Source organism: Homo sapiens, chromosome 18 (genome assembly GCF_000001405.40).
Source record: "Homo sapiens chromosome 18, GRCh38.p14 Primary Assembly".
NCBI classification, from domain to species: Eukaryota; Metazoa; Chordata; class Mammalia; order Primates; family Hominidae; genus Homo; species Homo sapiens.
In genome coordinates, this window is record NC_000018.10 from 62,958,562 (window position 1) to 62,972,007 (window position 13,446).

At 38.0% G+C, this 13,446-nt stretch overlaps 1 protein-coding gene across 1 annotated transcript in view; it reads left to right on the forward strand.

Moving 5' to 3' along the window:
- The window catches only part of PHLPP1 (PH domain and leucine rich repeat protein phosphatase 1), a 264,893-nt gene that overhangs the window by 243,021 nt on the left and 8,426 nt on the right, over positions 1-13,446 (forward strand). Inside the window, exons 13-14 of the mRNA NM_194449.4 lie at positions 68-198; positions 4,807-4,911. Of these exons, the coding sequence (NP_919431.2) occupies positions 68-198; positions 4,807-4,911 (236 nt within the window). The remainder of the gene's footprint in view (positions 1-67; positions 199-4,806; positions 4,912-13,446) is intronic.

Sequence of the window (13,446 nt, forward strand, 5' to 3'; positions counted from 1 at the left end):
AGTATAGAATTCCCTGAAGAGCTTCTCTAGACCATCTCTTTCTTGTTTGCACTTGTTCTTTTTTCAGTGTGTGGACCTGAGCTGTAATGAGCTAAGTGAAGTCACATTACCAGAAAACCTGCCTCCCAAACTGCAGGAGCTAGACCTGACTGGAAACCCGCGCCTTGTCCTTGATCACAAAACCCTGGAACTACTGAAGTAAGTATTCTGTAAAGCACTGTATCCCCATCATTGTCCACTGGCAATGGGATTCATATCTTAGTGAAAATGGGAAACAAAATATGAAGCATCATTGACTTGTTAGCTGTGTTAACACACACAACAGGATATACAAGATGCAGGGAAGCAATGAACAACCAAGATGTAACTTAAATCTCAGTAGTCACTGATAACGTGGTTGTGACAGTTAATGCAAATATTAAGGAAGGATTTTAAAAGAGATGGATGATGTAGGGAAAATTAACAGTGTAGCGCTGAAATCCAGGTTATTTAAATAAAACCAAGAATGCGGAGTAGTTAGATCCTACCAATAGTTAGATCTTCACGGTTTGGGAAAGAGGTCATTGATGCTGTTTCATTCTTGATATTGATAAAAGAATTAGTGGTTGGAGTTTTCTATGTAAAACCTTAAAGGTCTGCAGTAGGAAAGATGTCTTAATGAGAATGTTCATCATGGAACTCTAAATGTCTATTAAGAATTAAATAATGTTCCACAATTGAATATTACAAAGCCATTTAAAATTATTTAGAGCTATATTGCTAACTCAAAAGATCTTTACAGTATATTAAGTGAAAATATTAATAAAATTCACAATGAAGTTTTATAGTATAATTCAATTTTTGCATTATAAATTTGTGTGCATTGGGTATATGTACATGTGTATGCATACACACATCTAGAAAATGCCTGAAAGGATATATAAAAAGAGTTAAAGTGGTGTTATTCTCTGGATAATAGTATTATGGGTAGTGTTTATTTTCTTCTTTAAACTTTTCTGAATTTTCAGAATTTTTTGGGGTATATCAGTAGCAGTTTTAAACATTGTCATACATTAGTCATTATGCATGCCATATATGTTTATTCAATGTTGGAATATTTGTTGCCGAAAGTCATCTTCCATTATCTTAAGAGAATCAGAAAAGAACGGTAGAATTTTGGTGACTGGTCCGTTAATACTATCCTAGGCTGTAGTGCAAACCAAAGTTTGAAAAGCACTTAAAGTGATTCCTGGATAGAATTGGCCTAATTAGTGCCTAATTTGTTGGCATTTTAGTACTTGATGAGAAAATTAATTTTGATACATAGTTGAAAAACACTGCCTGAGTGTCCTGAGGAAGGCGTAGAGACCGAGGTTCTCTCCATTGTTGATCACATGTATGAAACCTCGGCCTAAACCCCTCCATCTGTCCACACCTATAAGATGAGAAAAAAAATGGCCTACGTGATCTTTAAGGTACTTTTTAAGATCAAGAAAACATGGATTATCAAAATACATCATCTTTAAACAGATAGCTTTTGAGTATTTTTTATACGTAGGATACAAAAATTTTTGAGCATTTTTTTACAAATAAAATTTAAAAATAATTGCACCAAAATTTGTTAATAAATGGAAGTAGCCACTTAGAGAAAAATTAAAGTTGCATTCTTATATCACACCAAAATCCAGCTGAAATAGTTGAATCTGTAAAATTAAATGATTTTTAAAAGTAATAAATCATATGAATATCTTCACAAGTTAGAAAAAGACTTTTTAGGCCAAGAAATGAAGGGAGTAAGTCACAAGAAAAGAAATCAGTACATGTAGATTGGTTTCAATATTTATGTCGTATATGTTTACACGTAAATATACTTTTTATACATAAAAGTGTTAAATGTCTATTTCCTATTTCAGAAACTCTCAAGAGTAGATATAAATGGCAAATGACAAACTAGGAAGAGAAATACAAAAAATAAAAGCATTAATATGCTTACTAGAAAATGTTCTTATATGATAAGAAAAGTACTCAAAATAAACCAAGGACATTAACATTTAACAGATGCAGTACAAATAGTTACATGAAAAGATGTTCAAACTTATAAGTATATCAAGCAAATACAAAATAAAATATTTGAATAACATTTCCCCCCTCAAATTGGTGCTGCTGAAGGAGTATAATTTGGTATTACACTCTTCTTAAAAGCAGTTGTCGTACGTATCAAGCTTTTTAAAATATTCACTTACTCAGACCAAAGTTTCCTATAGCAAAAAATCATAATACTCTTAAAATGTTACCTTCTGTTTAACATCTGGAAGGTTGTGGATTCTTAATGACTTGGAAGATTTTCCGTATATTATTTGCACTTTTAGAGGGTTGGTTTGTTTTATGTGAGCCGATTAAGTGCATATGAGGACTCTTCTGTGAGATTGAGCTGTGGTTCACAGAACTCTGACTCATTTAAAGATATACAAGATGGCCGGGTGTGGTGGCTCACGCCTGTAATCCCAGCACTTTGGGAGGCCGAGGTGGGTAGATCACCTGAGGTCAGGAGTTTGCAACCAGCCTGACCAACATGATGAAAACCCGTCTCTACTAAATACAAAAAAATTGGCGGGCGAGGTGACGCATGCCTGCAATCCCAGCTACTCAGGAGGCTGAGGCAGGAGAGTCACTTGAACCTGGGGGCGGAGGTTGCAGTGAGCCGTGTTACGCTATTGTACTCCAGCCTGGGCAGCAAGAGCGAAACTCCGTCTCAAAAAATAAAAAATAAAGATATACAAGAGTCAGCATTCATTTCACTTCAGATAGCTGCTCAGCCACACTGTGTTCAGCTAGGTAGAGAAGAGAAATTGCTGCTTCACTAGAAAGAATTATTTGTGTGCTGGGGAGAGGGGGCAGTTAAGAGTTATTTTTTTTTTCCTTTAATAATCAGGCTAGGAAATGGAATTATTTCTCTGAAGACTTTGTGTTCTGTAAAAATTATAAATGCCTTTAAAAATGAGCCTTCACTTTTCCCTAGACTTCAGGATGGTATCTAAGAGCCTTAGGATATGTCTTAAGAAACCTATTGTATTGCTGACTGTTTTAGATGGATAAAATGGAGTACCAGGTCATATGGAGAGCAAATAATGGAGGACTGTCCTTTTTTTTGTTAATGCCTCTTTTATTTATAGAATTGAAAACTTTGAAAAAAAGATTTAGCTCCAGCCTTATTGTAAAACAAGGTATTAACTTGATTTGGGGATTTTCTATTGACACTATGATTTATGTTTTTCAAGACAAGATGGAAAGTAAATGTTTGCTAGTAATTGAGAGTAGAAACTTTTCTTTAACCATATATTTTTAAATTTCAGAAAAATTGCCATCAGTTATTTCTAGTTACAAAGGGAATACAAGTTAGATATTGATTTACTTCTTAGAGCTTTAACTGGTTCTTAGGAAGGATATACAGTATTTGTTAGATTTGGGAGTAATGAGTACCAACAGATAATTTTAATTCTTGTGGTCATGACCAGAACTATGTAGGTGTTGCTTCAGTTGTCAGCAGATAATACATATACTTTTTCCCTTGTTTAAATAATAATGAGGGGGAAACTTAGTGGCAATTTACAAGTAAGAGGACTTATTTCACCTTGTGGTAGCCAGCCTTTTAACAGACTACTTTACATCTGTTAATGACTCCCTGTTTAGGGGCACAGAATGCTTTCTAGAGGCTGATTTTATTTTATTTTATTTTATGTTCTTTTATGTTATGTTATGTTATGTGTTATGTTATTTATTTTTTGAGACAGAGTTTCGCTCTTGTTGCCCAGGCTGGAGTGCAGTGGCACAATCTTGGCTCACCGCAACCTCCACCTCCCGAGTTCAAGTGATCCTCCTGTCTCAGCCTCCCGAGTAGCTGGAGTTACAGGCATGCACCACCATGCCCAGCTAATTTTTTGTATTTTTAGTAGAGACAGGGTTTCTCCATGTTGGTCAGGCTGATCTCGAACTCCCGACCTCAGGTGATCCGCCCGCCTTGGCCTCCCAAAGTGCTGGGATTACAGGCGTGAGCCACCGCGCCTGGCAAGGCTGATTTTTAAGAAATGCTATTTGAGAATTTGTCCCTTTAGTATTTCTGTTTTGGGTCCTGTTGGATCAATTATGGCATATGAGGGCTGAGGAGAGGTAAGAAATCTCCCAGTTTAAATACATACAGTTAACTTGTAATTTATTAAATACCCTTCATTTGCTTTGTAATTTTACATATATGTTTTATTTTATGATATTAGTCTTAGCATACTTGGCTATACCCGTGAGGAGAGTATTGGAAGCTCCAGGGAACTGCAAGTCCATGATAATATTTGGAGGGGTTATATGGACAGAAATTGGATTTGGAGATGAATATTGCAGAATTCTCTCACATCATCTAAATGCAGTATAATTGTGGCTTAGGTGTTTTGTTGTTGTTCTTTCTGAGTATTCATGGTGTAAGAATACACCCATCCTATTACTTAAGTTTTGTTTTCTCATGCCAAGGCTGAGAGCTGTCCTTGTCATTCCCAGGAGAGAGCAGTCATCTAAAGTGGAATGTGTGAAAGTCTCTAATAGCTGCTTTACGATGCTCATTAAAACTAATTTTCGTGCTCTGTATATATGCCCCTCAGTTTTCATTACAACGAGTAGCTGGTTCTTGTTGCTGATAAGTATTTCAGACACATTAAACGCAGTAAGAAATGGTAAGTACAGAGTGTTTAACAGGTGTATTTTTTATTTCTTGGATAAAGGTAGCAATTTGCACACATTTGGTTTTAATGATTCCTGTTCCCTCCCTGTTTCTCTTGTTAGTAATATCCGCTGTTTCAAGATTGATCAGCCTTCTACAGGAGACGCTTCCGGAGCCCCAGCTGTATGGAGTCATGGTTACACTGAAGCTTCGGGGGTAAAAAACAAGTAAGTCAGATGAAACTTTAGAGGAAGAAGTGCCTCCTGCCTGTCTCACTCCTTTAGTTGGGTAGAAAGAAACTCAGTGCTGTAGCACACACTTTTCTCATGTAAAATTTCTTTGAGTATTGCAAGTTTCCCCAGAGTGAGGCTCCCTCACGACTTATGTTTGAACATTAAGGGAAGGCCCTGTTTGGAATCACATAGTCTCCCTTAGTAGGAGACGTTGCTAGGATACAAGGTAACTGACACATTATATCTATGTAAGACTCCAGTGTTTAGAAAAGGCCTAAGTATTGAAATGCATCCCTGCTCCTTTGAAAAGCTCCTTTATCTTCCTCTGACGCTTGTTTACCAAGCAAAACAGAGATAGTATTAAAGGAGAAGTAGCTTAATTGTGCATATTTAAGATCACTCATGTTATTGACTATGGAGCTGTTTTTACAATCTAAATTAGCTTGGCAGCAGTTTGATGTCCATTGTCTGTAATGTCATCTGCTTGTCTTGCCACCAGGACTTGCCCATCTTAATATCTTTTTCTTCTCCATTTTCCCCACCCTTCCCTCTCTTAGATACAGATATTGATTTTTCCTGAAAAATGTAACCAGGCTTTTCAGGCTTGCTTGTATTATATGAAGAGGTGCTAATAATTAGTACCTAGACAGGTAAAGAATCCTGTAAATTAGAACGGCCATAATTTAATTAGCTGAAGTATAAGAACACAGAAGTATTGTAAGGAAGAACAGAAAGTGGAGGTAGATCTAATAATAGCTAACATTAGTATTCAACCCTGGGCACACATTAGAATCAGTAAGGTAAGGAAAGTTTTTAAAAAGTCTCCCAACCTAGACTCATTAAATCAGAATGTTTTAAAATCTCCCCCAGGTGATTCTAGTATGGGTCTAGGCTTGAGAACCACCGACTAGCTGAATACTCTTCATAGAAAATAAAAGGTTTGGAATTGTTGCTGCCATTCTGCCTGCTTTTCTTTGGAACAGAAAACAGCATCAACTCAAATTCTGGATCTGACACATTGATCTTTTCCCCTTTCCCTAAGGTGTCATTTGGCCTTGTGCTCTCTAGAGAAGAGTTAACAACTCTGTTCTCTTTGCTCAGAAAAGGCAGAATAACCCGAGGAGGTGTGCCTCAGTTCTGCCTGGGCTCCAGCTACTCCCTCATTTCCATGGACTTTGCACAGTATGTCATTGTGTTGGGACAGAGGAGAATTCATATATTCTTTAGAGCACTCAGAGTTTCTTTCTGGAGATCATTACTTTTTAGATCAAAGGATCTTTTATGTCTTCCTTACAAACACCAGTAAATGAAACTGCTCATTTCTGAACACTAATGTGAAATCTAAGATTAGTTTTTAAATATCTCTGTATATTAATATCTAATATCTACTCGTGTCTTAATGGAGCAAGTAACCAATTAGATCTGGGTGGGCTTTTGGGCATAATTCCCCCTTCCACAATTGTGTCACATAGTACCATTTGTGTACAGCAAAGTGCACTGCAACCCTTTGAATTCTTGCAAAGTGAACACACCTTCAGACCACCACCTGTATCCAGAAATAAAAAATGAACAGAGTCATTGAAAGAGAAAAATAAATAAATAAATACAAGAAATAGAAAATGGACAGCATCCCAGTAGTCCCAGGCTATGCTTGGCCCTCCCTTTATATTTTCCCTTGCTTTTCTTACCCTTTGGTTTTGCCAATAAAAGTTTCTCGAGAGGTTTTTGTTTGTTTTTTGGTGTTTTTTGTTTTGTTTTTGTTTGCATTGTCAATAGTTATTTAAACACAGAGTTTGCTGCTTGCCACCTTAAAAGAAGGGGAAAACTGGTTGTCCTCTCTCCGAATCTCAATAGACATCTATTCTCTTCTCTCCCTCCCTCCTTTTCTCTGAGGTGTAGTATTGCCTTCCTGTCAGGTCATTTCAGATCCTTTGGGGAAACCCAAGAGGGAGCTACAGTTGGATAATCAGCCTCTTTTTTTTTTTTTTTTTTTTTTTTGAGATGGAGTTTCACTCTTGTCGCCCAGGCCGGAGTGCAATGGCGCAATCTCGGCTCACTGCAATTTCTGCCTCCCGGGTTCAAGTGATTATCCTGCCTCAGCCTCCCAAGTAGCTGGGATTACAGCGCCCACCACCATGCCCGACTAATTTTTGTATTTTTAGTAGAAACAGGGTTTCACCATGTTGGCTAGGCCAGTCTTGAACTCCTGACCTCAGGTGATCCACCTGCCTCAGCCTCCCAAAGTGCTGGGATTACAGATGTGAGCCACTACTCCCAACCTAGCCTCTTCTTTAGGTTAAAAACCAAACAGGAAACTTCACCAGAAAAGAAATGCTAAGAATGATCACCACTATACTTTAAAAAAAAAAAAAAGAAAGAAAAAAAAACTACGTTACTGTATTTTTTTTTCTCTTTCATACTACCTCATTCCAATTAGCAAGGGGAGCCTACAGAAGGAAGACGGAATAAAATGACTTTAAAATTTAACTTTGCCACTAATTGCCATATAATTTTGGATAACTTGTTTTTCATAATAAATAGAGGCAAGAATTTCAAAGGATTGAGATAGAAGCCAGGTTGCCTGGCTTTGCACCTGGGTTCTATACTTTCTTGCTGTGTGACCATGGGCAGTTTCTCAGTCTCTCTTTAGCTAAAATAGGAAATAAGAAAAAACTACCTATCCTCATGGGGTTGTTACAGGATCACGTGAGTTAATATGTATGACATACTTAGAACAATGTATGCCATATGATAAACCCTATTTAAGTGTTAACTACTAATATTATTAATGATAATGGTCATTACTATTATTATTTATCCCTGAGCTCCTTAAAGGGAGGGATTATATTTTTAAGTTTATATATCTGGTATGTAGCCATGATACATAGCAGGTGCTTAATAATTTTTTCTTTTTATTAATTTATATATGTAAGAGGTATAATCTATATTCAGTAAAATTCACCCTTTTTAATGTACAGTTCTACAAATTTTTTTTTTTTTTTTTTTTTTTGAGACGGAGTCTTGTGCCGTTGCCCAGGCTGGAGTACAGTGGTGCAGTCTGGGCTCGCTGCAAGCTCCACCTCCCGGGTTCACGCCATTCTCCTGCCTCAGCCTCCTGAGTAGCTGGGACCACAGGCGCCCGCCACCACGCCCGGCTAATTTTTGTATTTTTAGTAGAGACGGGGTTTCACTGTGTTAGCCAGGATGGTCTCGATCTCCTGACCTCATGATCCGCCCGCCTCGGCCTCCCAAAGTGCTGGGATTACAGGCGTGAGCTGCCGTGCCCGGCAGTTCTGCAAGTTTTGGTAAAAGAATATCATCATGTGTAACCACCACTGCAGGTTATAGACCAGTTCCTTCACCTACCAAAATTTACCCATGCCCATTTTTGTCAGTTCTTCTCCCCAACCCCTGTCCTTGGCAACTCCTGATCTGTTTTTTAATCTCATTAATTTTGCCTTTTCCAGGATGTCCTATAAACAGAATTATATAGTATATGGCCTTCTCAGTCTGACTTCTTTCCCATCACATAATGCGTTTGAGATTCATTTGTACTATTGCATGTGTCAGTAGTTCGTTTCTTTTCATTGCTTTTTATTGCTGAGTAGCATTCCATAGCATGGACATATTATGGTTTGTTTTTGTTTTACCCGTTCACCATTTGAAGGATGTTTAGATTGTTTCAAGTTTTTAGCAATTGCGAATGAAAGTGCTACAGGTTGCAAACAGTTACATACAGGTTTTTTATGAATGCTTGTTTTCATTTCTCTTGGAGAAATGCCTAGGGATAAGGATTGCTGGGTCATATGGTAAGTGTATATTTACTTTTGTAAGAAACTGCCAAACTGTTTCCAAAGTGCCTGTATCATTTCGCGCTCCCAACAGCAATGTCTAAGAGTTCCAGTAGCTACACATCCTTACCAGCAGGTGTTATTGTCAGGTTGTTGTTGTTTTGGCCATTCTAATAATAATATCTCATTGTGGTTTTAATTTGCATTTCCCTACTCTTTCCATATGTTTATTTATCATCCATATACCTTCTTTGGTGAAAACTTGTTCATTCACAATCAAATGTGATGTTAGCTCTCGGTATTTTTGTAGACACCCTTTATCAAGTTAATTCTCTTCTATATCTAGTTTGCTAAGATTTTATAATGAAATCTTAGTTTTTATAATAAACAGATAACACATTTTGTCATAGACTTTTTCTGTATCAATTGAGATGACTGTATGGTTTTTTTTCTTCTTCAGGCTGTTGATGTGTTTAATTACATTGATTGATTTTAAAATGTTAAATACACTTTGCATTCCAAGTATAAATGCATTTGGTCACGATGTAGTATATTTTTCTTTTTTTTTTTTTTAGACAGCGTTTCACTCTTATTGCCCAGGCTGGAGTGCAATGGCACGATCTCGGTTCACCGCAACCTCCGCCTCCCGGGTTCAAGCAGTTCTCCACCTCAGCCTCCCGAGTAGCTAGGATTTCAGGCATGCGCCACCATATCTGGCTTATTTTATATTTTTAGTAGAGACAGGGTTTCTCCATGTTGGTCAAGCTGGTCTCTAACTCCTGACCTCAAGTGATCTGCCCTCCTCTGCCTCCCAAAGAGCTAGGATTACAGGCGTGAGCTACCACACCCAGCCTAAAGTATTATATTTCTTACATGCTGCTGGATTAGATTTGCTGTTAATTTGTTGAGGATGTCTATATTCCATGGTGGATATTAGTCTGTAGCTCTCTTGTGATGTCTTTGGGTTTGGTATCAGGGTAATGCTGGCCTCATAGAATGAGTTGGGAAGTGTTTCCTCATCTTGAGTTTTCTGGAGGAGTTTGTATAAAATTGGTAATATAGCCTTCTTAAATATTTAAAAGAATTCACCAGTGAAGCCATCTGTTCTGGGTTTTTTTTAACCTACAATTTCTTTAAATAGGATTATCTCTTTCTTCTTGAACAAACTTTGGTAATTTGTGTCTTTCAAGGAATTAGTCTGCTTTATCTAGTTTTCAAATGTATTAACATAAGCCTGTTCATAATATCCCATTATTAGGCTTTTTTTTTTTTTTTTTTTTTTTTTTGAGATGGAGTCTCACTCTGTCACCCAGGCTGGAGTGCAGTGGCACAATCTCGGTTCACTGCAACCTTTCCCTTCTGGGTTCACGCAATTCTTCTGCCTCAGCCTTCTGAGTAGTTGGGACTGCAGGTGTGCGCCACCACGCCCAGCTAATTTTTTGTATTTTTAGTAGAGACGGAGTTTCACCATGTTGGCCAGGCTGATCTCGAACTCCTCAAATGGTCCACCCGCCTCAGCCTCCCAAAGTGCTGGGATTACAGGCATGAGCCACCATGCCCAGCCCATTATTATGCTTTTAAAATCTGTAGAATCTGTAGAGATGTTCCTCCACTCTCTCATTCCTAATGTTGGTAATTTGTGTTTTCTTTTTCCTGATCAGTTTGATTTGGTTTATCGATTTTATTGATATTCTCAAAGAACTAGATTTTTTGTTTTACTGATATTTCTCTATAATTTTTCTGTTTCACATTTCTTATGTTTTAATTTTTGTTTTATGGGTTTTTTGGGTTTTTTTGTTTGTTTTGTTTGTTTGTTTTTAAGAGACAGGGTCTTGTTCTGTTGCCCAGGCTGATCTTAAACTCCTGGCCTCAAGCAATCCTCCTGCCTTGGCCTCTCAAAGTACTGAGATTACAGGTGTGAGATATCACACTCAACTGCTTTTCTTATTTTTATGATTCCCTTTCTTCTTGCTTTGGGTTTGTTATGTACTTCTTTTTCTAGTTTCTTTAAATGGAAGCTTAGATTATTGATTTGAGACCTCTAATTCTGTAATATAAGCATTTAGAGTTGTAAATTTTTTTCTAAGTAATTTCACTAATATCGTTGGAGAACACGCTTTGTATGACTTGAATCCTTTAAACTTATTTAGACTTGATTTTTGGTCCAGAATCTTACCTATCTTGGTAAAAGTTCTGTGTGCATTTAAAAAAAAAAATTGCTGTTGGGTATGGTGCCAGTTAACTCAAGTTGGTTGATATTGTTGCTCAAGCCTCCTACCAGTTTTCTGTCTTCTTCTTCTGTTGATGATTGAGAGGCTATGAATATGGATTTGTCTGTTTCTCCTTGTAGTTCTGTCAGTTTTTGCTTCATACATCTTGAAGCTCTGTTAAGTATGTAAACATTTAGAATGATGTAGCCTCTTGATGAACTGACCCCTTTATCATTATGACTCTCTATTCCTATAATATTCTTTGTTCTGAAATATACTTTGTCTGATATTAACATAGCCATTTTAACTTTCTTTTGATTAATGTTAGCATGGTATACCTTTTAAAAAATCCTTTTACTTTTAACCTATTTGTCTCATATTTAAAATGGATTTCTTATAGGCGGCATATAATTAGGTCTTTTTTATTCAGTCTGAATTTTTTGTCTTTTCGGTAGTGTTAAGGCCTTTATATTTAATGAAATTATTGATATGGTTAGGTTTAAACCTTCCACCTTACTATTGTTTTCTATTTGTGCCATCTGTTCTTTATTTCCTTTTTCCTTTTTCTTCATTCTTTTGGATTATTTGTTATGATTTGATTTTATCTTTATTTATTCTTATTCTACCGTGTGTCTCTGTGTGTACATGTGTGGCTTGTTTAGAGTTTATAGTGTGATATTTAACTCATTACTGTTTACCTTCAAGTAATAGTAATGTCATTTCACATATAAGAACCTTGCAAATATGTACTTCTCCTTCTCCTGTCCTGGCCTTTATGCTGTTGTTGTCATATGTTCTGCTTCCATCTATGTTATAACCTCCAAAATACATTATTGTTATTTTTACTTTAGTTATTTTCTAAAGCAGTGTTTCTCAACTTCAATACCATTGACATTTTGAGCCAGATAATTCTTTGTTGTTGCCTCCCAATACCCATTAGAATATTATTGAATATTCTATTAAGAATCACTGTTCTAAGGTGATTTTTAAAATAAGAAAATGAGGCTGGGCATGGTGGCTCATGCCTGTAATCCCAGCACTTTGAGAGGCCGAGGCGGGCGGATCGCTCGAGATCAGGAGTATGAGACCAACCTGGCCAAGATGGTGAAATGCTGTCTCTACAGAAAATACAAAAATTAGCTGGGCGTGGTGGCGGGTGCCTGTAATCCCAGCTACTCAGGAGGCTGAGGGAGGAGAACCACTTGAACCCGGGAGGCAGAGATTGCAGTGAACCAAGATCACACCACTGCACTCCAGCCTGTGTGACAGAGTGAGACTCCATCTCAAAAAAAAATGAAACAAAAAATGAGGAAATGTTTCTGTTCACTCACCTGGCTGTCATTATCGTTGTGCTTCATTCTTTTGTACAGTTCCGGATTTCCATCTAGTGTCATTTTCTTGTGCCTCAAGGATTTCCTTTTCCATTTCTTTAGTGCCATCCTGCTGGTGGTAAATGCTTTTATTTGTGCATCTGGAAATGTCTTTATTTCCCCTTAACTTTTCAGAGCTGTTTGTACTGGCTTAGAAATCTAGGTTGTTTTCTAGTTGTTTTCCGTTGGTACGTTCAAGACGTTGCTCCACTGTCTCCTACCAGGTTTCCAGGGAGAAGCCTGCTGTTGGGCACGTCCTGGTTTCCCCTGCTCTACCTCCCGCCTTTGTTCCTGGTTTCTAGCAATTTGATTTTGATGTGTCTCAGTTAAGTCTTCTTCATGTTTGTCTTGCTTGCAGTATCTGTAGTTTTATAATTTTCTTCATATTGGAAATGTTTTCAGCCATCAACTCCTCAAAAGTGTTATCTGTCTCTTCTTTCGAAGACTCCAACTCCCTATAGTATAGTAGGCTGTTTGAAGTTATCCCACCACTCACTAAGGTCCTGGCCTTATTTTTTTTTTTTCCCAGTCTTTTTTTTTTCCTCTCTGTTTCATTTTGGACAGTTTCTGGGACACAGTTGCTTGGAAACAGTTTGATTCTTTTGAGTTTGGAGTGGAGACAGTCTCCAAACTTTCCACATTTGCCGGGAACCACTATCCTCCTCCAGTGCACTGACTGTGGACTCTGGCCACCTTGTCCTCCTTCAGCCCCCAGCTCCATCTCCTCAATGCACGGAGACCACAGCCTCCACCTGGGTCTTCCTCCCTGTGCTGCAGCCTGGACACTTCCCCAGGAGGAAGCTGGGCGGGAAGCAGGCTCTCTCCAGGATTACTGACCTGTGCTCTTATTGTCCAGTTGGGGTTTGTTTGTTTGTTTTTCCTGCCTTTTAAAAAGGTCATTTGAAGGCTGGACATAGTGGCTCACACCTGTAATCCCAGCACTTTGGGAGGCTGAGGCTGGCAGATTGCTTAAGCTCAGGAGTTCGAGACCAGCCTGGCCAACATGGTGAAATCCCATCTCTACTAAAAATACAAAATTAGCTGGGCATGGTGGCATACTCCTGTAGTCCTAGCTACTCAGGAGGCTGAGGTGGGAGAATCGCTTGAGCCCTAGAAGTGGAGACTGCAGTGAGCCGAGATCACACTACTGCACTGCAG